This window comes from Homo sapiens, chromosome 13 (genome assembly GCF_000001405.40).
Source record: "Homo sapiens chromosome 13, GRCh38.p14 Primary Assembly".
NCBI lineage: Eukaryota > Metazoa > Chordata > Mammalia > Primates > Hominidae > Homo > Homo sapiens.
The window spans coordinates 106541531-106568539 of NC_000013.11; the positions used below are offsets into that span (position 1 = coordinate 106541531).

At 37.9% G+C, this 27009-nt stretch overlaps 1 protein-coding gene across 1 annotated transcript, besides 5 other annotated features; it reads right to left on the reverse strand.

Annotated features, from left to right (window-relative positions):
* Positions 1-142: 142 nt before the first annotated feature.
* On the reverse strand, positions 143-26607 carry ARGLU1 (arginine and glutamate rich 1). The gene is made up of 4 exons (NM_018011.4): positions 26043-26607; positions 17902-18127; positions 15518-15601; positions 143-2630 (listed from the first exon to the last, which is right to left on the reverse strand). The coding sequence occupies exons 1-4, from the start codon at positions 26387-26389 to the stop codon at positions 2466-2468; spliced, it is 822 nt and encodes a 273-aa protein (NP_060481.3). The 5' UTR covers positions 26390-26607; the 3' UTR covers positions 143-2465.
* Positions 25769-26068: a silencer, noted in NCBI's record as "silent region_5492". NCBI's record gives its function as "represses an Ori minimal core promoter by ATAC-STARR-seq in GM12878 lymphoblastoid cells {active_cell/tissue: GM12878}" and the evidence as "EXISTENCE:reporter gene assay evidence [ECO:0000049][PMID:35858748]".
* Positions 25769-26873: a biological region, named in NCBI's record as "NANOG-H3K27ac-H3K4me1 hESC enhancer GRCh37_chr13:107219841-107220751".
* Positions 25963-26873: an enhancer, noted in NCBI's record as "NANOG-H3K27ac-H3K4me1 hESC enhancer chr13:107219841-107220751 (GRCh37/hg19 assembly coordinates)". NCBI's record gives its function as "activates a minimal SCP1, AML or CMV promoter by ChIP-STARR-seq in primed H9 embryonic stem cells {active_cell/tissue: H9 hESC(primed)}" and the evidence as "EXISTENCE:reporter gene assay evidence [ECO:0000049][PMID:30033119]".
* Positions 26549-26668: an enhancer, noted in NCBI's record as "active region_7983". NCBI's record gives its function as "activates an Ori minimal core promoter by ATAC-STARR-seq in GM12878 lymphoblastoid cells {active_cell/tissue: GM12878}" and the evidence as "EXISTENCE:reporter gene assay evidence [ECO:0000049][PMID:35858748]".
* Positions 26679-26748: an enhancer, noted in NCBI's record as "active region_7984". NCBI's record gives its function as "activates an Ori minimal core promoter by ATAC-STARR-seq in GM12878 lymphoblastoid cells {active_cell/tissue: GM12878}" and the evidence as "EXISTENCE:reporter gene assay evidence [ECO:0000049][PMID:35858748]".

Below are 27009 nucleotides of genomic sequence, written 5' to 3' on the forward strand. Positions count from 1 at the left end.
GCACAGTAAATGAATACGGAGATTACTTAGGGTAGAAATAGTCTGATTTGCTGCATCTTCATAAGGGAAACTGAAGTAGGTAAAATCTCATACTACAAACCCCTTCCCCAATTTAAAGCATTAAAGAGTCCTCACACCAAGCTAATTTAAAGGTTTAGTTTATACAATTGATAATTCTGCAAACCACAATATGTCAATAACTACATACTGTAATAAAAATAAACAAAGTCATACTTAATTCTATAATGCATTAAGAATAACCTAAAAAAACAAATTGTGAATAAAGGCATATTTAATAAATTAGGGAACATCTTAACTTCTAATAGACTGGGGGAAATTTTTAAGTTTTCTATGTACACAAAGGCAGTGGGAACAAATGAAAAAAACAAATTACTACATTGTTGCAGCACATTAAAGACTGGATGGTGTATATTATTCACAATTACATCCTCTTTCCCATAGCCTGGCAGAGGAAAGTAGTTACCAAGCACAGGAACAATTTCAACATCTCACTGGAGTCTCCAAAAGCAAGCAGATACTGCAGGATGTCATTAAGCAACTTACTGTCACTTCACACCATATGTGGCAGTAAGAAACTTAAAAAAAAAATTAAAAGGCACGCATAAGCTGATTTCAAATATTTTAAGTCCAGGCTACTCTCTTTAGATACAATGTTTTGAACACTTGTATAGAACAGTTTTTAAATAAACATTTCCAAAAACTTGAATACAGAACTTAGGAACCATGAATCTTCACCAAAAAAAGTTACATTGAAAAAAAAAAAAATTCATGAAATAATTACAGCTAACCTATATTTAGAGATAAAATATTTTTTGGCAACCTATATTCTTTAGGAAAATAAAATGTTTGATTTTAGAGTAAGTAGTATGTTTACTAAAAGTTCTCACTATATTTCATGCCTATTTAAAATTCTACCTTTAAAGATCTTTAAACTGATTTTATATTGTTCCTTACCACAATTAGACTCATTGAAGAGCTCAAAACTAAAGCAACAGCATTTTTCCTAGCATGCACACACAAAATAATCTACCATTTAGTCATCTCTTTAGCTTATGTTTTCAATTTTTAAGAATAATCAAACTGTCTAAAAAATATTGGGCAAAAATAAAAATATTTTCTCTACTTGATGACATGTTTATGCATCTCAGGTAGCATTTTAGATCAATATCCTTTTCTTGAATGTTTTAATACCAGTATACTTAAACATATGTTAAGAGTAAATGAGGCAGATTCTAGTGTATAAAATGAAAGCCATTCATAAGATTTCACATGCAAAAAAAAAAAAAAAATTCATAAAGTTCAAATGTGTTTGTCCTAAAAATAAACGTGCAAGTACACTACACAATGAAAATGACTCGACCATCTTAGCCTTTTTTTGACAGTATAAAGCTAAGTTCTTTCTGATGGCCCACTCTGAAAACGATCTCAGATTCCATAATTTAAAAGCATTTTTCTAGCCTTTATTAAGTATACTTTGTGATAATACTTATATCCTAAAACAGAGGCACAGGTTTGAGAATTTAAATCTTCTGGATGTTGTTAGTCTTTCTTAAAGGTAACACTGATGCCATTTGCTCTATCAGCATAAAGTTGATATTTGTAAAAATAGCCATTAAATACTAATTCACAAGTATATTTAATGTACATATAAACCCTATGTTAAAAGTATAAACAAGAGGAAATATAGTTCTAAGACTTCTAAATGGTTGACCATCAAAAAGTGAACCACCCTCTTTAAGACTTAACATAACATTAAAAAAAATTGCTTCAACATATGAATTTAAGACTTTACTTTATTCAGCAAAATCATTTATTTACACAATGGGGAATGCTGGTTTGATTTTGTCAATGAAATAAAAACAAAATGAACAGAGACAATACTGAACTGTATATATACTTTGTATCAGAGTTGACCAACTGTTTCCTTACCTGTATCAGGAACATCAAGAGCAACAGTATCACAAGGACACTGGTTTAACAATACACCACATAGGTCCAGTAATACCCTGGGAATTTCCCAATGCAATCACCAACTTTTTCTTTTTTTATAAATATATAAAAAAACAAAAAGTCAGCAAAACCAGCATTATGATGTAGCAAACAGAGTATAACTCTGAAGTCAGTGGGGTCAGTAAAAGCCTTATCAGACCATCCATAGTTTTACAATGTGATCTGCTCTTCCTCAGACCACTAATATAGAATCCAAACAGGTGAAAAATACGTCACTCCTTAGAATACAACAATGATCTGATAAGGATTTGACTTAGTGGAAGGAAAAAAAAAAAAAAAAAGGGAATTGCAGAGCATAGCCCCTATTAGAACAAGCTAACTTTCCAGATTTTACAAATTAAAAAAACAAAAACAAAAACAAAAAACCACTTCAACATGAAGCTACCATACAAAGTTTTTCCATTTTTCTTTGTAAAAAGTTCAGAGTTTGCAATTTAATCCTGGGTTTTTAATGAGAAGGACAGTTTTGGCCTGGACTTCCCCTTGCCCAGGATAATTTTTTGTTCTTCTTTTTGTTGACGTTGTCGTTCTTGTTCTAGTTTCATCCTTTCCTCATGAATCTTTCTTTGTTCTTCAACAATTCTCAACTGTTCTTCGGCCTGAAAGTTAAAAGTAAAAATTAATTATAGAAATGTATTAAAAATTATCATATGTACCCCTGCAACAGGTGTTATCTATTATGTATCTACAAAAAAATTTTTAATGCAAATGCAAAAAAGGGGGTAAAAACAAGGACTTCCTATGAATTACATGCCTTCAAAATATTTTAGTTATGAGGTGACAACTTACACACAATGGCATGTGTCATAAAATCTGACGAAGGTCACATAGTTTGGTAGAGAAAAAAGAATTAAGAAAATTAAAAGAGAACCCTTTATTAATTACATCTACATTTTCTGTCTTTCATTTTCAATGAAAATAAATGAACAAATTATGGAAAAGCATTTACACATTTTGGAAGTGGAAATTAATTTCCACAAATCACATGTTGAGATGACAGATTTTGTTCTATACCTATTTTTATCTCTAACTTCATTGTACCAGATTAATAGATTGTTAATTATAAACCGAGGTACAGATTTACTCAAAGAGCAGGTTATCTACCAATTGCCATATTTATAGTTGAAGGGCATACACACACACAAAAAAACAGAAACATAGGAAAAAATCTCCACTGGGGCTTTTTGTGTGGTCAAATCATGCTGAAAAAAAAGGGACTATATTATAGTATCAGTAGACAACCAAGAAACACGACAGACCCAATTACCTGAAGAAAAATATTACAAAACCTTCTGACCTGACTAACTATAAAGTGCTATCTAATTTCAAAAGGACACTGGTATAACTGATTCCACTCCTGCAGTGCCTTCAACTCCTTCCATGTCAAGCAACTTCTTTCCCGCATTCTTCCACAGATTTCCCCCTCTTTACCAAAGTCAGGCCCTTCTCATGCTTCCTAGAGATACCATACACACATCTTCAATTCTCAATTCTCAACCAAGCACAATTTTAATCCCTTCCCCAAGGGGACATTAGGCAATGCATGGAGATGATTCTGGCTGCCACAACTGGGAATGGCTCCTGGCATCTAGTGGGTGGAAGACTGGGACAATGCTACACATCCTATAATATGGAAGACAGCTCCCACAACAAAGAATGATCCAATCAGTGCCAAAATTGAGAAAGCCTGCTCTAACCCTTTTTAATATCAGTTATCATGATTTATCCTTTTTCCCCTCTATCTGACAGTGATCTTAAAACATTCGCTGCATCCTTTGAGCTGCCTACCTATTCCCATTCAAAGTCAAATTTTAGGTCATTGATTCCATCTCCATTATTCTACTAAAATTTTCTTCTGTATGGTCAAAATCTATCAAATTCAGTGATTTTTCTCTTTATTCAAATAAATTCTTCTGTTCACTTAAGTCTTTTAAAAACGTTCTCTCTTCTGATACATTCTCTAATGCCACACACTAATTACTTCTTTTGTCTCCATTGATATATATGTATTTTTTAAATAAAGTGTAAAGTGACTGGTTTACAGGCATTTATGGCAGAGGAAGATGGAAAAGGTAACAGGACTCCGGTATGCAATAAAAAATGTTGAGATTTTATCTTAAGTAGCAAAAAGGGAAGAACGCAAAGAAGTTTAGACAGCAATGTGACGTAGACTAAAAGATAGGTGTTGGAACAAATCAACCGCAGTCAAGTAAGGTTGGAGATAACAAAGATCAGAATTACAAGCAGTGAGAGAATCTGGCAGGTGAGCATGGTGGAAAATCCAACAGAGAGCTAAAATGTATCTTTAAGATACAGCTCTCTAAAACCTTTTTCCTATGCTACATTTAGACCTGGCTACTGGACACATCCACCTGGGAGACCTAGGACTTGCTTCAAAATTCAACATGTTTCAAGATTTAAATTCTTCCACTTTATCCTTAAAATAAATCTGCCCTTTACACTTTCCCTTCCGCCACTCAAATTCTATAGCTTTATTTCATCTCTTCCTTCTTCAGTCAAGTTTGTTACTTCTTGTTTTATATTCTCTGCCTAGAGTTTATTTTCATTTCTTTTGCCAGCTTCATCAGTTTAGGGCCACATATCTTTTGTACATCTAAAATGGTGCCCGTTTCCAGTGTGTCCTTCAATCCATCCTACACGATACTGCCAGACTCACCTTTCTTGACCACTGCTCACTCTTTCTTGTTCTCAAATTGCCAATGATATCCACTGTCCATGGCATACAGCTTAACTTCCTAAAGTATAATGTTTCTCTAAGACAAGATTTTCTATAACCTGGCTCCAGCTTTGTTTCTACTCCTCTTCTAAATTCTCCTTTCTATCTTGTTCCCCCGTCTTTTGCTCATGCCATTCTTTCCTTCTATGGAAATCCTACCTGTACATCAGAATCTATTTCAAATAGCCACTCTCTTCCTTAGGCTTTCACTGATATTACAACAAAAAGAACTGCCTGCTATCGGTCATCATTAATGAATTCATATGCCAATCACTTTATCCAGTTTTAATAAATCATCACAAATTTGGGGTAAGAGCTTAGTGTGTGCAACTGAATCAAGATGTAGTAAGGGTTCTTTGGATGTGTGTGTGTGCCTAAGAAACATTTTATCAATATAAATACTCAGATTCACTTTCTTCTAAGGTTCTAACTCAACCCTAGGAAAGCATCCTAGAGCCCTGGAGAGTGAGGGTACATAAAGAACATCACAACCTTAATCCATAAGAGAAATCTAATGAACATTACAAATATACCATTTTTTACCCTAGAAGACAGAAATTCAAAGTGTGACAGCACACTGCTGTGGTTTCAGTATGTCCCCCAAAGGTCGCTGTTAGAATTAACTGGCATTGTTAACAGTATTAAGATGTGGGGCATTTAAGCAGTGATTAGGCCATGAGGGGTTCATCCTCATGAATGGATTAATTCTGTTATTACCCGAGTGGGATGTGGGTTGGTTACCATGGGAATGGGCTCCTGATAAAAAGACGAGTCTGGCCACCACTTTTCTCTCTCTCTAGGGCCCTCTCTGTCTAGCTTGCTCGCCATGTGATGCCTTCCACCATGGGGAAACCTCATGGGATGCCTGTGCCATGTTCTTAGGCTTCCCGGCTTCCAGAACCCTGAGCCAAATATTTTTATAAATTACCCTGTTAGAGCAGCAAAAAATGGACTAACACACATATGCTATCATATAAAGAGCACTCTCACACTATCAAAATTACATCTTCGTAATACTTTATGCCAGCAAGTACATTTTCTGGAATTTACATTATGTACTTGTACAGCAATGTGCAAATTTTGCACCCATGCGAAACTGATATATTTACAGGGTTACATATTACAACACAGTTTATAGAAAGAAAAGAATGTGAAAAAAACCCAAATATCCACCAATATGGGGTACACTAAATAAATTACTGAAGATATATAAAGGAGAATATTGTATAGCCATTAAAAACAAGTAAGAGGAAAAAAGGAGGCCCCTATGTTCCGCAATGGAAAAATCTCCAAGTTACACTGTTAAATGAAAAAAAGAAAGTTCCTTGTGTACATGCTACTTTTGTGCAATAAAGGGAGAATTAAAATATTATGCATTTGTATCTGCCTGAATATGCTTTTACAGACATTCTGAAAAGATTTTAAAAACCCGTAACTGAGTACACTTTTGGAGACGGGGTTGGGAATTGGGGATTGGGTTGGGGGTAAGGTAAAGGGACTTCACTGTTTCTCTTCCTAAAAAAACAAAATTTGAACCATGTGATCATTTTGCCTAATTAAAAAAACAAGATTTTTAAAGTAAAGCAACTTCCTTCAGATAAAATACTAATTCTGCACTTTAGATTGGGTAAAGAATCAAGTTTCTTCACTTAGGTCTACAAATACAGAAGGCAAAAGTGTGTTGTGTATGTATGTACAGCAGAGTTGATTTTCTCCGGGACTACGGCTCAACAATGTTAATCACCAATGCTAGGCATACAGTGCCTACTAGAAGTATTTAATGCAATGATTTAAAAATTAGTTGAATATACTGTCTATATACAAATATTGGTATTTTGTTCTACTATGGCTTTAGGCATAAATCTTAATTACACTTTGACAAAAAAAAAGACTATTCAAACACTAACAACCGTCATCTCTCATTTTAATATAGTCTCTCAAGTGATAAAAGCTGGTTTCCTGTTCATCCACCACTTGTAAGTGTGGTATGACCCTATACCTTATTTGCTAGGTATTTTCCTAAATCCTACCCTCTCTCTGTAGTAACTTTTTCTTTCCTGATGACTTGACTTGCCGGAGAATACAACCATTGCTCCTTTCCCTGCTTGTTTCACATTTATGCACAAGAAAGCAGTATTTGCATGGGGGGTTGGGGATGCATATATGTATTTATACAGATGAGTAATACTAAGCAACTCACTCACAAGGATTACGTAGTGGACAGCTTGGAGGCCAAGGAGAAAGCTAACATCCACAATACCAGAACCAATACACTGGGGCAGACCCTCCTAGCCATTATGCCCATAACCCTGTTCAATCTCACAAAGGTGGCTTTCAACTTTGTACCCCAAGCTAAAGAGTGACTGGTGGTAAGAAGTACACACACAAAAAAATGTTCCATTATAGTTAAAAGGCCTACTTACCCCTCCCAGTAATCTCTGCCCTATTTTATTTATTTATTTATTTTTAGACAGAGTCTTGCTCTTGTTGCCCAGGCTGGAGTGCAATGACACGATCTTGGCTCACTGCAACCTCCGCCTCCCGGGTTCATGCGATTCTCCTGCCTCAGCCTCCCGAGTAGCTGGGACTACAGGTGCGTGCCACAACGCCCGGCTCCTTTTTTTGTAGTATTTTAGTAGAGACGGAGTTTCATCTTGTTAGCCAGGATGGTCTAGATCTTCTGACCTTGTGATCCGCCTGCCCTGGCCTCCCAAAGTGCTGGGATTACAGGCGTGAGCCACTGTGCCCGGCCTCTGCCCTACCGTCTTTACCCAGAGGATCTACTGATTTTATAAAGATTACCTTCCTAAGCATTCTCCTTCTTAAACTGTCCATAAATTTAATCAAGGTAGTTCTTAGCAACAGTCCCTTTAGCAGACAGAGATACTGAAATCTATTCTCTATTTGAAATATATGTAACTTTATAAAATTTTAAAAATCCATAGAAATATTTCAAGAGTGATTATAGAAATGGATGAAAAACAGCACAATTAGAAACTATGCCACTATTCAGAAATGTGATTTCTACATTTTAAACCTTCCAAGATAAACAGCCTGATCCACTCTGCCATTTATAATTTTAATTCCTTTATTCATCTTCCCTTCCATAACTTTTTAAATGTATATCCCACTTTAGATAACCAATGAATAAAAAAATGAAAAAAATATATTTGATACGATTAGTTCTGACACTTAGTAAACTACGTCAGTAAATTTTTCTGAGGTATTCCATGTACAATGTTAAATAACAGAAGGGTAAAACGCAAGGATCCCCTTCATCCCTGTGACAACATATTTATTCTCACAGTTACCTCCTTAGGGTTTCTAATATGCCAAACCATCATTACAGGATATCATTAGCTACCATCTAAATTCCTATCACCACCTACTCCCTTTACCCCCTTTTATTCTTAATTCCCCTCTTGTGACATTTATATATAATCTTAAATCATTTTTGAAACTTCAACCTTAGATAATATCTCCATGGATTCCATGTTACCTGAAGTGAAGACAACTGTTTCAAAAGGAGGAAGTGACTGAGATTGAGCTTTGTATGCAATATTATGTACAAAAAGCACTGCCTGAGCACTCTGGAGAGACTGCTGTATAATTTTGCCAAGGAAAATCAGATGCCTTTGGAATTTTCTTTATACTTTCTGTTCTAAAATTTCACAAATAAAGGTATTATCTAGATGTGGCTCTTTTAATCTTCTGTATCCTACATTCTCTCTTTTTACAGTTCTTCTGTCTTGGTCATTCACTATTTTGTGCACTAAGTTTTCCTTAAATGCTTAGGGATACCTGGCATGAGTTTATTAGGAATGATTACATCAGGAGTGTCTTTTCTGGTTCCTACAACAGACTTTCCCCTGCGTCCCGGCTTTTTCATACCTCTTCACTCACCAAGTTTATTAGTTCTCCCTCACAGTTTCTAAGAACTGCTACTTTGGTGATTCAAGGCCCCATCTTTTGACTGGCCTTCAGTGGCTTCGTGTTTCCAATTTGTGTCCTACAAACCCATCCTTCACAATGTCAATACACTCACTCATGTCCAGAAATTTATTTTTTAAATTACTGTCCCAAATACATTAACATAAGGTCTTCAACCAGCTTTTTATCTTAACAATCAGGAAAAAACCTCTCGCTCTCTGAAAATCCTTACCTGACTTACCCAAAACTTCATTTCAAATTAAAATATTTGACATTTACATTTGGTGCCTTATTTTTCCTAAGTATTGTACCATTTCAACTTATAGAAATGCTTGCTCTACTATAAGATACCCTGTTCTTTTTCCAACTGTGTTCATTTCCTGTGGCCACTGTAACAAACTGCAACTGGATGAAATTTATTATGGAGTCAAGAAGTCCAAAATCAGTATCACTGGAACAAAAATCAAAAGTGTTGGCAGGGACACACTTCCTCCAGAGGTTCTATGGGAGAATCTGTTCCCTGCCTCTTCCAGCTTCTGGTGGCTGCCAAGGTTTCTTGGTGTGTGGACACTTCACTCCAAGATCAACATCCTCAAATCTCTGTGTTTGTTTTCACATCACCTTTCCTATGTGCATGGATTCTGTCAGGAGTCTGAACACCTTCCTTCATCGTGTCATGTGTCTTTTTCAGTACCAGTTGGCAGTTTCTGCTGACACAACATTCTCAGAAACTTTGGAGGTCCCCTACACGTCACATCATTAAACATCGTTCTCCATAGATATTTCCTGGATAATCTCATCTATTTCTGGCTTTTACTGAGATAGTACGGGAACCTATGAGTTACATGCATAGTTTCTTCCACACAAACAAAAGGCTGTCTAGCAATACCCCTGGCCTTCTTTCCAGAGACAGTTTTTCTAACAGTGAACACCTTTTGCCATCTGAGTAGCCTGAGATATTCCCAACATCCAGTGCTGGTGGTTCTTTCTATACTTATCAGTTCATTCTTCAATTTAGCTTTTCTTGCCACTTTACTATAAACAGGAAGAAACCAGGCTGCAACTTCAACACTTACTTAGAATTCTCAGCTAAATATGAAAAAGTTTTAAGTTCTGCCTTATATACAACTGTAGGACACAATTCAGCCAAGCTTTCTATCACTTATAGAAAGGATCTCTTTCCCTCCAGTTTATATGTTCCTAATTTGCTTCTGAGCCCTAACCAGAAGCACCTTTAAAATCCATATTTTTGCCAACAGTCTTTAAAGGCAACATATGCATTTTCTATCATGTGACTCAAAACTGGAGCCTCTACCCACTGTCCAATTCCAAAACCACTTCCACATTTTTAGGTAACATATTACCACAAACTAAACAGCTCAAAATAAATTTATTCTGGAGGCCAGGAGTCTGAAATCAGTATCACTGGGCTGAAAGCAAGGTGTCAGAAGGGTGTCCATTCTCCTTCTGGAGTCTTTAGCGGAGAGTCTGCTCCTTGTCTCTTACAGCTTCTGGTGGCTGCGAGGATTCCTTGGCTTCAGCCTACATCACTTCAATCTTCAACGCCAACATTTCCAAATCTCTCTCCTCTGTCTTTACTTAGCTTCCTTCTCCTGTCTGTGCTATATGCTAAAATTTCCCTCTGCCTCTCTAAGAAAACATGTGATGGCATTTAAGGCCCACCAGATAATCCAGAATAAACTCCCCATTGCAAGATACTTAATCACATCTGCAAAAGCCCCGCCCTCCTTGTCATATATGGGCACATTCAAATTCCAGGCACTAGAATACAGATTGTTTTTCATGGAGAGAGGACAGAAGGGATTTTTCAGCCTATCATACAAACTCATTTAAAAGAAAGCCATCTCGCAAAGCAAACTCTGGTTTATTTCAAACTTATGTATGTGGTACACATTTGATATATAAGCAACTTTCAAACATGGCATATCTTTTCTTCTCTCAAACTGCTGAGATAACAAACTGGTGAGATACAAAGTGGTATAACACGATGAACTTGGCAAGGGGTGAGAAGAAAACTATTTCATTAGTAAAGAGATCTGTAAATCTAGAATTTATAACTTGCATATACTTTAAAACCCCAAACACCCCCATCTCCCATCAAAAGTAATTTGTCCTTCCTTTGACCAGTATGTTACCTAAAATTTTATTAGAAATTATCAATCTATCAATCTATTATTATAGTTTAGGCGTTTACACCAGATTCACTAGCCAGGTTGTACGGTTTGTATTTTACAATCTTGACAAGGGTATAGATTGAGAGTTTCTTCCTTCTGCTGACACAACCTTCTGGAAGAGTATTTTATTCTATAGCAAAATCTATCCCCAATTTTTAAGTCTGTTTCCCTCTCCAAAAAAGTAAAATTCATATACATTTCAGAACAGTATCTGAGATTTTCCCAGGCACATCATAAAAACACCATGAAGACTTCAAAAAATTTTAAGCATTATTTTTAACAAAAGAAAATTAAAATTTTCCATTGTATTAACCCTTCAAATACCTAAAGATAGTTATGTGTCGCCAACACTAACTCAAGAACAAAGAACAATCTGCCAAAAAGCCAAGTCAAGTCATATTTGGATGCTTTTACTTTGTAAATAAAGTATGTTTGTTGGTTAATACTTTTGTCTCTGTTGACAAACCAAATATCTTGGTACACAATGTGGAACTGAAAAAAACAGTAACTACCCATGGATTAGAGCACTTAATGATTTTCACATATGGATGAGCTCGTGTGGCTAGGCTAACACATTCCTTATTAGTCATTACGGGATTCAATCTGTGAACTTGTGTCACAAAAGGCTACTTAAAAGTCAAAAGTATGACTTTAACTTCTTTACTAGTATTTCTATGTGATAAAAAAAAGTGATATACATTACTTGTAGCATGTAGAAACTGAAGAAAAGTATAAAGTTACACGTAAGACTACCAATTAAGGATAACTATTTTTAGCATTTTGGCTTATTTTTCTGTCTCTTAAAATGTGCAAGTATATGTTTCTCAAAATAAAAGGATCATATTGGATATATAAATTTTGTATTTAGCTACCTCCTATTTTGTATTTCCCCTGAATTATCAAATACTTTTTGGCTACAGAAAAACCCACTGTGTAATAATAATGAATCCAACAACTTGGACATTTCTATTTTAAATAATTTGAGAGTATCTTTGTACATAAATTCATTTGTAAATGATTCTATCTCATGAGATAAATTCTTAGACACAGAATTAAAGTTTTTTATATTTACTGATTTACTGTTAATTGTCTTTGGAAACTGTTATACCCATTTAAATTCTCATGATCATCAGGTAAAGAGGTATCTGTATAATAACCCGCCAACACAGGACACTATGAAAAACAATGGCTTTAGGGGATTTCTATTAAGGAAAAAGAAAAGAGGGGGACATTTCTTTGTTTCTCTGAGGTTGAGATATATTTTCAGAAATGTATTGTAGTTGCTTCTTGTCCTACTTGTGTACAAATATCCTTTTTAATTAGGAAGTTAGTCTTCTTTACTGATCTGTAACATCATTGTATTATTTTTTCAGTTAAAATGTTTAAGAAATCTCCCTCCCCACTTCCAAGGTACTTTCATTATCAACTTGTCTTTTCTATAATCCACTTTCCACACAAACTTCTTAGCATACATAAAGTTGGATGGCTGCTACTTTACTATAGCTCCTTCTTCCAATATCCCAAGTTTCCACACCCTAGCCTTTGTTTTATTCTACTACCCCAAAGGCCTTTGCCCTGTTTCATTTCCTCACACTCTTGTCTACCTCCTAATAGAATTTCCACCTACCCATCAGGGCCCAGCTCAAGGGACTACCTCTTCTAGGAAGGTTTCCGAGGCCACCCAGGGCAACTATGTCATTATCTTACATTACCTATACCACTTACCAAATATTTCCATGGTATTAGTAACTTTTTTTGGAGTTGTCTTTGTTTCCAAAATATGTTAAATTATTTTAAAGCACTTAATGGCTTGTCTACTTTTCCATCCAGTTGTTTTTCTCAATATAGATTTTAGCAAACAGTTACCTTTGATCACCCTTCATCATTCATCACTTTCTAGAGGCCAGAATGCTTCTCATTCTTCTTGCTTTATATGGTATCAAGTACTTTTAATAGGAGTTTGAATGTATTTTACATATTTCCCAATAAACATACATAAAGATTAAAGAATAGTGCTCAAAATTGAGAGGAAGGGGAAGGAAAAAGGCAATAAAAGTGGAAGTGGGCCTCAACGTGTACCGTGCCATCTTTATACATTTTTTGTCTCCTCCTACACAAAGAATACCCTACTTTTCCTGCCAGCATATGACTACCAACAGAACCAAATAAAAAACTTTTCTTGGCCGGGCGCGGTAGCTCACGCCTGTAATCCCAGCACTTTGGGAGGACGGTGCGGGTGGATCACAAGGTCAAGAGTTTGAGACCAGCCTGGCCAACATACTGAAACCCCGTCTCTACTAAAAACACAAAAATTAGCCAGGTGTGGTGGTGGGCACCTGTAGTCCCAGCTACTCAGGAGGCTGAGGCAGGAGGATTGCTTGAATCTGGAAGGCGGAAGTTGCAGTGAGCCGAGACTCCGCCACTGCACTCCAGCCTAGGCAACACAGCGAGATTCCATCAAAAAAAGAAAAAAAAAAAAAATTTCTCCAGTATCAATTTACTACGCTCCCAACTTTATTGAACACTATAAGCAAACATGTTAAATATGTTCAAATTCTTACTCAACTTTCTCAAATCCAAGCCTCTTTTTCCCTAAGATATGTTTTTTACTGAAGTTTATCACAAGCATGCCATCAGAATAGTGTCACTCTGGGCCAGGAGCGGTGGCTCACACCTGTAATCCCAGCACTTTGGGAAGCCAAGGCGGGTGGATCACCTGAGGTCAGGAGTTCGAGACCAGCCTGATCAACATGGTAAAACCCCATCTCTACTAAAACAGAAAAATTAGCCGGGCATGGTGGTGGGTGCCTGTAATCTCAGCTACTCGGGAGGCTGAGGCAGGAGAATAGCCTGAACCCACCCAGGAGGTGGAGGCTGCAATGACCCGAGACTGCGCCATTGCACTTCAGCCTGGGCAACAAGAGCAAAACTCCGTCTCAAAAACAAAACAAAGCAAGAATAGTGTCACTCTGATCAAATCTAAATCTGTATGATCTAGAAAAGTGCTAATGTAAAGCATGGCCCACAGACCACTTATAATCTACAAACTAATCAATCCCCAACAAGGACAAATCAATATTAAGGGTTTTAGAAGTTTTTACAGCAATATGACCTCATTTTTCTAGTAATTCATCTTAATTGTATTTTGCGAAAGTAGAGGTCTGAGACAAACTGGGATTAAAAAACAAAAACAGAACTTTTACTACCATTTGAGAAGTATTAGGTTATGACTACCAATATTTTTTCCAGTGATCACACACCGAAAGTCATATTTTTTATTTTTCATGTGGGCAAATAATAGAGGACTGTAAGAATGCAAGGAGGCCAAGCCGTCCCTAGCTACCACAGGGTCAGAAGGGATCAAGATCTTGGCTGGGCACACCAAGCTTCCAGGCCACCCACATAATGAACCCACCACAGCTATCCAATCTCTTTAACATGTCCTAATGGGAGGTCCAGTTCCACCTGCTCAGTAATTTTGCTTCAGTGATTTAACTGTCAACCATATTTTTTTCTTCTTTTCTGAAACATCCATGCCTCACAAACCAGAGTGTATTTACCCTTCAAAGCTCAACCTTCTAACCTCAAATTCAGATTGAACACTTTCCCTCTTCTTCCTATCTGCACTGAGGTTCTCTCCTTATATGGAATCCCAGAATAACTAAAAAAAAAAGTTATCACATACTTATTCATAAGCATGCAGCAATATAACTTAGAATGACTCATCCATTTCACATTCCTATTGCTTTTTCTGCCTTAGCAGATTTTAAGATTTTCTTCGGGAAAGCGGATTATGGCTTTCCAATAGATTCCATTATGGCCTTCACAAATACCAGGTGATATTTACCAAGAATCCATTGTGCCATGCTCACTAAGTTATCTGGAATATTTCTAGCATTATCTCTTATCCAGAGTACTCTATTTTTCAGAAGATGATGTTCCAGAAACAACTGCCCCGTATTAACTTTTTACATTCTTATTAAGGTTATTTATGGTCTTCCTTCATCCCTACTCTCAATGGGATCCACTGTTAACTACTCAGACCCACTTGGATATTTTTCTGTACATTTATAACCACAAAATTTCTTTATACCATGTAACTGGAGCTTACAACTTGCTTTCCCCCACCCCCATCTTTCTATATTATATAATTACCGAAGACTCTGTATTTCTTAAGATTATAAACTAGGAATAGGAAATTACTCCGGTGCACTTACTATCAAATAAATACTATCTACTCCTGGTAACAAGCCAACTAATACAAAGTAAAATGCTGCATATTATAGTTGGTTTAAATATACCCCCAAGCTTTTGTTGTTGCTATTAGTTTTTTAGGCATAGGAGAATGTGAATGAGGTTAGGAAAGAAAAAACTGGGGATAGAGAACAAAATAATTTCCCCAGAAAACTTGTTTTTTAAAATCACTGCAAATTTTGGAGTTCTGTCCAGATTGGAAGGAAAAATCTCAATTGTTCCTATCCTTGCCTCAAAAAGCCTTTAAAGTTAGTCCTGAGAATCCCCCCAAAATAAGTCAAATTATAGGGCACAAAAATCAATCCACAAAATCCGAAAAAAGGAAATAAAGCAAAATACAAAACACTTTTCATGTATGCTTTACACTTACCAGTTTGGCTTGTGCTTCTGCAATTTTTCGGTTATTCTCTTCCAGTATTCGCTCTAGCTCCTCACGTTTTGCACGTTCTTCCTCCTAAAGGGGAGGATATGTTAAGATATTAGAAAAACAAAATGTTTATTTTTATTGATAAATATTTACTAATCTTCCTCTGAACTTTTTTGATATGACTTACAGGGTAGCTTTATAGCTACCTTCTGTCTGACAAATGATAAACTGTGCAGTCACTAAAATTGGTTTCTAGCACTAAATTTAAATCATCCCTCCCAGTCCAAACAGCAACCAACTAAACCCTCCCTAATGATAGTTTCCTGGCAATTATTACTAATACTTTAATATCACACAAATCAACAAGGACAACTACAAAACTGGATAGTATTTACCAAATTAAAAAAATAATATATAAAATATAAATAAAGTGAATATTTGTCTCACCAATTATGTATACCTACGTATTCTTTACCTATACTCCTTTAATCAGCATTAAAAGTTGAATATTTACTGTCTTGTCCAGTGTCCTGCAGAGTGTGCTCCTCGGCTGCCATACGCGCCAGCTTCCTCTTTAAAATGATTTGTACTGTTAGCTTGGCAATACCTGCATCAGCAGCTCAACCATTTATAAAGAAACAACATACAAGGAAGGCTGAGCTGAGGAATGCAGATGTTTATGGTAAGAAGGAACAAAAAATGTAATTCATCATTCCTAAGGCAAACAATTAATAAGAAAAATACATTTACTGTTAGTGAAAAATACAAATGGTAATCCATACTTCATGGAACTACGGGCTTCTTCCATGGGGAAAATGGACTTAACATTCAGATGTTGACAATTTCGGAAGGCAGCTTATATTGTCATCTACAATCTGAACTGAAACTCAGAAATCCAGGGGATGCATGGTCAGGAAATAAAATTCTTCAACTTATTTTTTCTTGGAGAATTTAATGAGATTTTATAATGCAAACTGTATGAAGACTGCTTGATGGCTTGAGCAGTGTTCAGATCACAGCATACATATTCAAATGATTTTAATATTTGGAAAGACTGTCAGAGGGTTGTGTCCGTGTAAAAAAAAAATTGTTAATATGAAACAAAAAAAGCAAATGAAGAGAAAAAAATCTTACTATGATTAATAACTCGCTACAAGACAGCACCATTACTCCAAAAATATCTTCATTATTAAAAGCACTGATATAAATAAAAATTTCATACATTCAATTTTATAGTCTGTGAAACCCACTATAAATATAAGCATGTATATCTAGTTAAAGACAGGACAAGGGAAAATGCATTTTAAAAGCTAAGCTTACCAGAAAGCAAAGAGATTTAATATGTCAACTTGTCCACAATAATGCCAAGATGAAAAATGACAATGAGTCTTAATTATTTTGAGTCAAATATTTCAGTTCAAGAAAATACAACTACAGGATTTCCTACATCACACACCAATGGGATTCATATTCATTATGCAAACTATGGTGACAGACACTCAGGGCTGTAAAGTAATTTGCCTTGAGTGTTTCAGTGACTTTCACCAAGTTTTTGGATCCTGGAGTAATCAGTGCAAACAAGCCATAAAGCTTCAGTAGCAAATTACTGTCTCACAGAAAGACATTTTCAACTTCTGCTCCAGCTGCTGATAAAACAAATCATGTGTTTAGCTTGACTCCAGACAAGGACAACCTGTTCCTTCATAACTCTCTAGAGAAAAAAAGGAGTTGTTAGTAGATACTAAAAAAAGTGGATGAATAATCTGGATATTTTTCCTAAAAAGATTCCTTGAAACACATTAGGAAAATGGAGGGCCTTATGATCAGAATGCTAGAATTAGTCCATTGTGCTGAAGCAGGGTTTAGGGGAGGGAGTGAGGGATAAAAGAAGGAAAAAAAGAAGAGTGAGAAAACCTATTTATCAAAGCAGGTGCTATCACTCAATGTTAGGCCCTGCTCTTTTTAATCTGACTGAAGGCAAAAGCCTCTCACAGTCTAGGTAACAGAGTGACAGAATAGAAGAATATACAACCACAGGTGGATTTTTAACCTTTTCCCTTTACCACTCCCTGTCTCCCCACCGTCCTCCCAAAAAAGAATGTAAGTCCTGCAGCCATGGCAAAAGTTTCAAACACTTCTCAAATAGCCAGTTCCATTAAATCAAAAAGTATCCTTGAATATGTTTTATAAAAGCTTCCAACTTTTAAGTTATCAGTCAGCACTTCTGAATAGGCTAAAAAATTAACTTTCGCAGCAATGTTAAGTTTAGACGAGAAAGGAATTAGATAGTCTGTATTCCATCTCTTTCTGAACTGAGCAGGAGGCAGAACCCAACACTGAAAGTTTTGCCATGGACTGTCTCTACTTTCCAAACGACCGAGCGTTACCTCTCTAGCTTTTTGTGCGGCAAGCTCAGCTTGTCTCTGTCGCTCGAGTTCTTCGAGCAACTGCTTTTCCATGATGCGTTTGGCTTCCTCCACCCTTCGGAGAACTTCTCGTTCAATTTCATCCTTCCTTTTCTCCAGTTCTTCCTCCACCCTTTTTGCTACCAATTCTTCTACTCTTCGTGCTGTTTCTTCCTCGATGAGTTTTTCTTCTATTTCTTGCTGTCGACTAGCAAACAAAGTGAAAAAAACAAGTTAGGTATTTACTTTTAAAACTATAAATTTAAACAAAACTAGTTTTAAGTCTATCAAGCCATTGAGCCTGATATTATTCAGTGATTTTTTCAGAATTCATTTCCATGTCACATTTGAGGAAATGACAGATACCAAGATGTTAACTGATACAGAAATTCAAATGAGTATAAAATCTTTTTTTCCTTTATCATATTCTAAATACAGGAGAACAGGTATATACAAAGAGCCTAATTCATTAGTTCTAATTTAGGAACAATAAATCCGGACAGAAAACCTATTCTGTTATTGACTTTATAATCAGAGGACAAGTTGTTAAAACATATGGATTTGCTCATTTGCCAATCACTTCGTCTGGGGCTGAGCTACAGAGAAGGAGAAATTATGTAGCAGGCAACTCAGATTGGCTGAATTGATTTCCCGCTAAGCAAAGAGAGAATAAATACAGATTGAAGAGATTCAGATTGCTGGACTAATAGTGCGTAGTTTTTACTGAAAATATGACCAACTTAAGTTTTGAACTGAAGTTCTTTAGCTTTATAGTTCCTTACTATGTCTTTTCTTCCTTTTGTTAATTTTCAATTAAAAGCTCCTCTAGAAATGGGAAAGTGGGTAAAAATATATTTTTATTACCAGAAAAAGTTCAATAAAGCATGATACTACAGTTTTAATTACTCCAATCCCATTTTGATATTATAAACCAATTTACTCAAAATAAAATTCTGTGCTGAAATTACTGACATTCATCAAGGCACCACTGGAAATCCTGCACATTTCATACCAATGATATTCAGTGACAGCCACCAGTCATATGTGTCTGGTCCAAACTGAAATTTAGTATGAAGAAAAAGAATATAAATGATCTCCTATTTTTATTTGATTGCGTGTTAAAATGATATTTTGGATAAAAATATACAATAAAATTAATTTCATCCATTTCTTAAGGTTACTAAAAAAATTTTACATTGCATATATTGTTCATACTATTTCTAGTTAATAGCACTGAGACAATAATTTGTGCTGAATGAATAAATTCTGAGGCTCTTGCAGTAAATCTCAATCCTAAGAGGACGATTCATGTTCCAACTTTCTCAAAATTAAATAAAACCTGCAACCTTTATCTTTTGATCACTCATTTGACATCCATATATATGAGAATCATTCAATTTATCTGTTTAGTAAAGACTTTATAGTTTCTAAGTGACCTTTAAATACCCCAATCCACTTCAACTCAACTCTATTCTTCGGGATGATTCAATTCTCACCCAAGGGCTCTCATTTTCAACTCCTGTTACTTATTCAGTGATAACACACTAACACCAATGTGTCTTAATCTGATTCATTTCAGTTTCTACATTTATCCTCTACATTCTTCTGTCAAGGAGACAGTAGGTACTAGAGAAAGAATATTTTCCTTTAAGGGCCTAGATGTTTGCCCAACACTCATTCTCAGGACTTTGTTGTTTGAAGTCTTTATCTACAGCAGCTCAGTGAGAGAGCAGGTATCTTCCCCAATACTAAAAAAAATCAATCACTGGGAGCATATAAAAGGAAACCAGACAGCAACTTCAATAGAAATTAAATCACATTTCCATATAAAATGTTGTTTCTCTACTTCACCCAAAAGGAAAGAAAACTAATCAATGAAACAAGGCTGACAACTGTTGAATCTGGATAATGAGTACCCAAGAATAATAATAATAATCTGCCTTTGTGAATATGTAAATTTCTCATAATAAAGTGTACACACACACACACACACACACACACACACACACACACTTTTGCTAGTTGGTTCTTCTGAAATTAGTAAATGTAGAGAAGCCTAAGAAGAAACTTAATATTTAAAATTTCAAAACCGGTACAATGTGACTTTTAATTAACAATACTAGGTGGATCATAGTACCGACTATTAAAAAAAAGGATAATGTAACACAGTTCCAATTAAAATTCCACACAAAGTAGAAAGAAGGCCCTAGGAGTAAAAAGTTGCCATCTTAAGAATTTGGTGAAGGCAGAAGAGACCTGATACACACTCAAGGTTATTTTTGGCAGTCAAGCCATCCCTCAGCAAAAGCGCAGTGGCTAACAGGGCCTCATTTCCATAGCTTTGGTCAGTAAGGAGAAAATGAGCCAAATAAATTTACTTACAGCAAATGCCAAATCAGAATGTCAGTTCCCTGCTTCTATTTCCACTGATGACATCAAACCAGAGGGCCCATGTAACAGGCAGTACAGGCAGGCCGTGGGCTGCTCCGCTGCTAAGGAGTCAATTCTAACTACAGCTCAGCGACTTTATAGCCCAAAGGGAGGGCAAGTGGAAAGTCCCACGCTCAACTGAAACACTGGAGAATGAGAAATGACCTAGTGCAGTTTCTCACAAAGCTGCTTATCTCCCTTTGTTCCTGGAGGAACTGCAAGGCATCCCAATATGAAAATGAAGCTTTGCAACAGGCAGGGTTCAGGGTACCACAGCAAAACTGTTTGCCTGCAAGTGTTAGCAAGAATATAATTTCTGCTGTTTTTCTTGGTAAAATTAAAAATGCTACTTCAGTAATCAGAAAAAAATTTTAAATCAAATTTTAGAAACAATGCTGAAGGAAAGCTCAATTTTATCCCCTCACCATACACTGAATTCAGCAAACCAGTGAGCACATATACAACTGAATTAAGCATGAGTTCATCTTTACTGATGGCAAATTTATCATCATAATCAATGATAAAACCACTATTATGCCTACTCCCATAAGAGGCACTGAACTTTCTTGAGTGGGTCAGTGTCTTGCAAAATAGGTATCATCTAACAGCCTATTCACTCCTCAAAACCCTTGCCATAGCAGTTGTCACCCTCATGATGTTCTTTTCTCTAATGTTTTCCTCATGCTCCTCTGCTGAATATCCATTTCCCTGCCAATAATATGTTATACTGACGAAAGCATTAAATCAAGATCTTCAAGGTTTTCAATGAAATGGTATAATACTAGGTCCTATTTTCTCTGTGCTCTCAGGTATTTTAAAAACACTAGTCAGGCTGGGCGCGGTGGCTCACGCCTGTAATCCCAGCACTTTGGGAGGCCCAGGCAGGTGGATCATGAGGTCAGGAGATCGAGACCATCCTGGCTAACACGGTGAAACCCCATCTCTACTAAAAATAAAAATAAATAAATAAATAAAAAATAAAAATTAGCTGGGTGTGGTGGCGGGTGCCTGCAGTCCCAGCTACTCGGGAGGCTGAGGCAGGAGAATGAGCTGAGATTGCGCCACTGCACCACTGCACTCCAGCCTGGGCGACAGAGCAAGACCCTGTCTCAAAAAAAAAAAAAAAAAACAAAAAAAAAAACCACTAGTCACACTGAACTTTAAAATGCTAACTATTAAAAACAAAACAGTAAGGCTACAGCACTTCGGCACTGTTACAGAGTAACTGGCACCATTATTTTAAAACATCTTTAAAATGTGGGAACTCAATCCTAGGGGTTTACTTCTAGGAATCGCTTAATAATTATTAGCAAACAGCATTTACTTATTACTTAATAGGTAACATATAATATTGTGCCAAAAGCTTTATATACCATGTCATCATTTAAATCACATAATTATTCCTATGCAGTGGGTATGTATCCCATTTTTACTGAGGAAACTAAGAACAAGGAGCTGAAGTTTCTAGACTCGAGCACACTGGATGTTGCTGAGCTGTTTCTCTGAACCTAAGTAGATGCCAAAGCTAACGATCTCAAGCAAGCACTATACTACCACCCTACACCGGTTTCTGCAGGACAAATAAGCAAGGCAAAGACAAGCACACAGATTTAACGACCAAAAAAAGGAAGAAAAAAGTATAGGCCAGGCACGGTGGCTCACATTTGTAATCCCAGCACTTTGGGAGGCTGAGGTAGAAGGATTACTTGAGGCCAGGAGTTCAAGATCAGCCTGGGAAACATAGTGACTCTGTCTCTACAAAAATAATAAATAAATAAATGAATACATATTCTTAACATCAGCTAGGTCTTATGCCTTAATGTTCTGTCAGAGCCTTAACCTCCAAAAATATGCGGTTCCATATAATCAATTTTCTCCTAAAAGCTCTTCTTTGCTCTCACAATGAACTGCCCAAGTATTCTAAGAATCACTTATATAGATCCCAGTTCAGTGTAGATACTCTAATTTAGAAGGCCCTTAATCCGTCATCCAGTTGAACACGGAGGATATTCGAACCTAGATATCACAGGCTAGAGTAAGTTACTATGCCATTAACATTTTCCTGATTTGCTGCAAGTTATTTTCAGTTGTCTATTTTTTCAACAGTTAATATAACATGCATGCAGCATCTCAAAAGAGCATTTAAGAAAATGGTGCTACTGGTGTGGGGGAGGGGTGAGAAGAACCACACTGAATGGCTGGGACGCAAGGATGAGAGGAAGATCTTTTGAACTGAATTTTGAACCATGTGAACTGCCTATTCAAAATTGAGGGCAAAAGTCTTTAAAAATGTAAAGGCCTACCTTCTCAGCATTAAGATGACAACTCATAAGATCACTTCTGAAATTCATCAGGCTCGGTCTGGCTCCATGTAAGTTAGTTACATTAAATAACATTACTTATTGAGAGCTATTACATGCCAAGTATCACCTACTTTAAATACATCATCTCCAATTTTCACAACAAGCAAGACAGATTATCTCCATTTCACAGATTTAAAAACAAGGTTAGAGGGAGGTGATTTATTCAGCAACTCAGAATTATAAGTGGTAAACCAATAAGGTTTCCAATCTTACCAAAGAATTCCTAATTAGTTAAACCCAATGGTTGATTCTTATTTTACGGTCTCTTTCCATCTAACTAGATTTCTTGTAAGGGCACTTGACACTATGCATTTTTACCATATTTCTTTCTGCTTCCACCATAGGCTCTTCTCCCTCTTCCTAACTGCAAATACAGGCATGTCCTAAGGTTCTTTCAGTCCCTTGAATGAACCGCTCTCCTCTCTCCACACTCTCCCTGGGTCATTCCATATACTCTCAAGGTTTCACGACATTCAGCGAAGCCCCTCTCAGCTAGGCTTCAGTCTCACATGATCAAGTCTGGATAAACTCAGTACAGTATATCCAAAACTAGTGCTCACAGTGAAGGCACCATTCTCTTATCCCCTTTCCCTCTCCCTTATCCACTATTTAAAAAGTTTCTGACATTTTTACCAGTACCTGCCACATGGTTGTTACTGAAACATTTGGTAGATGAGTTGCAACAGCCACACTATAAACATGAGAACCAACATTCTTTTTCTGAAGTCCCACATTCCATTTAATATACCCTGAATGTTTCTTAAATCTGTCCCTCTTTTCCATTCCAACAACCATCCTCACTACTCCTGTGTAAACTTCTGTACCCACCTCTTAGTTTCCATCCTACACAACAATCAAAACAAAAAAGGCACCATGTCATTCACCTGCTTAAAATCCTTCCCGTTTCTAGGATGCAATCCAAGCTCTTTAATATGACATACAATAACCCTAACATGATTCCCAGCCTCTATTTACCTCTCCAGTCACTCCATGACTTAAATATTTATAGAACTTCGTGTTCTAAGTCAACAGTCACCTGATCATTCCACTTTTAAGACCATTTCCTCTATTTTGGCAGGAGTCGGGGGAGGAGGCTCTTTTCTGTGCTCCACATATGTCCTATACCTTGCCTGACATTGTCATATTCTTATATCCTCCACCCACACAGGATACTTCCTTTATACAGTTTATATTACTGTCACTAAATTTACTACACTGTATTATTGCCTATTTAATGATCTGTCTTTGAGCTAGATCAAGCTCTTGGAGAAGGGCCAATCATCTTTATATTAACAGTACCTAGCACAGTGCCTGGCACTTATTAAATGCTCAATAAACATCAGTTAAATGAATAAAATAACCAACAGGATATGTAGACTGCAAACTGTTTCCTTACACTGCCAAAGCTCCAACACTTAAGTCTTTCCATTGTTTCTTTTGCATTGTTTCCAAGACATTAGAATATATTAAATAAAATGCCTATTGTACGGCACCCAGGAATTTAGAGTACAGGTGGCTGCTAGTCCTGGTCCCTTCTCCCTCCTAAATACTATTGGCAGTTTGTGTCTTCTCTCAAACCAGAGAACCATATAGCTCCTCTATTTGCCGTATTTCATTCCTGAATTTCTTGTCTGCTATACATGCGAAACCTGCTAAATGCTTCTATTTATTCTTTGCATACCAAGTTTCTTTTCATTTTTCCTACATATCTTAGCTTTCTAGTGAAAGGCAAGTTATTACTCTTTGGAGGTCTCCTTTGTTTTCACATGTAGAAATTATCTCAGCAATGTCTTAGGTAACTTTTCATACATCCATCTGTTGATAGCTATTTGAGATCTTTACAGCTAAGGGCCTTGTTGCAGACCCAAAAGTTGTATTCTACAAAATCAAGGTTTAATTTGAAACGATTACTTGAACTTTGTTTTCATATGTATCACTGACAGTTCTAAGTACAGGAAAAATGAGTGTTGCATGTGTTTTAAAGGAGTGTTGGAAGCAAAACAGCTCCAGGTACAGCTTCCTCTGTAATATTAGTGCTCCAGTCCTACCTTTTAGTAACTTTGGTTTTAGAAACAAGCTGTGTGTGTGTGCTGGAAAATCTACCTAACACAAACCCAACTACAGAAAACTACAAACCACGCAGTCAATTCAGCACACATATACTCGCCTCGAGAAAATCATAAATTCAGTAACGTTCTTGCTTCATGAGCACTTTCTAAATATTCACTGAAGAACTGACCAAGTACGGCTGGTTCAATAGGGAGTTAGTAGGACTGTTCAAATCTACTTTTCAATGCGGTTTTTGGAAACTGAATACCCAGAGCATCAAAGTACGATGATCATAAAGCAAAACACACAACAAATCCCTAAATTTTAAAACCCAAAAATTCCTTTAGTTTGGGATTATTTATCCACATCTACTTTCATAGCCAGAAATACTTGAGAGCTGACATTTTCGGAAACACACTCTAACTCTAGTTTTCACTAAATATCCTTCATGGGAGCAACGCCAAAATAAAATCAACCCTTCAAGTGTCTTCTGAAGAAGCACAGTGTAAGGGAAACAACAAAACTGCACGTGTTTGCTACAGGAATAGAAAGCAAGTTAAAAAAGCGGTAGGCTTTGGGATGGTGATTACACAGGTGAATTCAAAGGTCAAAAAACTCATCGCACTGTACACTTAAGGTCTATGCTTTTTTTTTTTAACATCTCAAGGAAGGGGTGAGGGTGTAGGCTCAAGGGGAAAAAAGCAATCCCAACACCTTAACAACAGGAATACACTAAAGTGAAAATGCATTTTTCTGGCGGACCACCTAAAGTGTATGATTCCCGAGATTAGTTAAGTCCTGTCCCAAATTTGAGCTTCAATAGAATGCTTCTGGCCAGCTGTGATTCGCATCTCAAAGGTTAATTCCCTTCTCTCTCCTCCTCAAGCCGACCAGCAAACGCTCACCACCCTCCACATCTGCAGGCCGGCTCGCTCCCGGCCTCACAAGCCAACGCAGCTCTCCGACCTCACTCCGAACTCCACCCCTACTTCCGGGACACCACTCCTCTCTCGCGCCAAAATCGCCTTCTCTTAAACCCTTTCTGCTCAAGCCCTCGAATTTTCCATCCCGAACAACTTCTGGGTCTGTCCCACCCCAAGCTTTCCAAACGCCAAGCCTGCCCGCCCCGCCGCCGCCTCTCCGACCCGTTCCCGCGCCCGGTCCCCAGCCCCGGACCGTCCCCGCCATTCTCCCGGCCCGCACCGTCCCGCCCCGGCCCCACGCCCTCGCCCCGCGCCCTGCTCTCCGCACGCCCCGGTCCCTCCCCGCGCGGGCACTCACATTTTTCGCTGCCGCTCGAACTCCGCTTTCTTCTCCTCCTCCTCTCGCTTCTGCTTCTCGTCCAGGCTGCTGCGCTTGCTCACCGTGCGCCCGAAGATGTCGATGCGGTCGGGCGGGGACGAGGCGCGCTCCCGGTCCCGCTCGCGCCGGGACACGGCCGTGTTGGTGGAGCGCGAACGGGACCGCGACTCCCGCCGCCGGTTCCGTTTACTTTCCCGAGATTTGGAACGCTTCCGCACGCGCTCCTTGTCCCGGGATCGCGACCGGGACCGGCTGCGCTTCTTGTTGTGCTTGCTGCTCTTGGTGTGCTTGGAGCGGGACGAGCTCCGGCTCCGAGACCGGCCCATCCTTCCGGGAGACGCTCTAACCGCTCGCCTCAGGCCCCTCACGCGGCCAGTTCCCCTCGCCTCCGCCTTCGGACGCGGGCTGGCGGTTCTACCGAGGCCGGAGGAAAGAAAGGTGTCGGCCAACGGACTTTATGCCTTTTCCCGGCGTCTACAGCTGCCACGAAGGCCGCCTCCAACGAGAAACCCGTAGCGCCAGGCGCCCCTAAGATGGCAGCTGCGGCTGCACCGGCCGCCCTTCCCACAATGCCCTGCGCGAAACGTGCCGAAGCGTGGGCCCCGCCTCCTGACGATTTTTGCCGAAGGCAGGCGAGCGCTTCGGAGCGGACTCGTTTTTTTCCGCCAGTCTTGGCGGAAGCCTGAGACGCAATAGATGGAGACTCTCCTTTTCGCCTTGGCGTACTCTTTTTTTTTTTTTCCTCCCTGGTAAGATGCCAACGCCTGTTGAATGAATTAAGCACGTTTTAGTGGGATTTAAGTCCGGCCTCGCAGAAGTTGATTGATTGCATTATTTTCTAGGAGCTGGTCTTGTGGGGCAGCCCTAAAATGTATCTCCAAGTGACCCTGCACTCATCACTTGCTGCCTTGGACTTAGTTTCCTCATTCGTAGAATGGAGACACCA

Excerpts from the sequence above, each read along its gene's own strand:
- ARGLU1 (NM_018011.4), bottom strand. The coding sequence starts at position 26,389 with ATGGGCCGGTCTCGGAGCCGGAGCTCGTCCCGCTCCAAGCACACCAAG. Across the intron at positions 18,128-26,042 it reads TTCGAGCGGCAGCGAAAAAT|TCGACAGCAAGAAATAGAAG; the intron begins GTGAGTGCCCGC and ends TTTGTTTGCTAG. Across the intron at positions 2,631-15,517 it reads CAGAAGCACAAGCCAAACTG|GCCGAAGAACAGTTGAGAAT; the intron begins GTAAGTGTAAAG and ends TTTAACTTTCAG.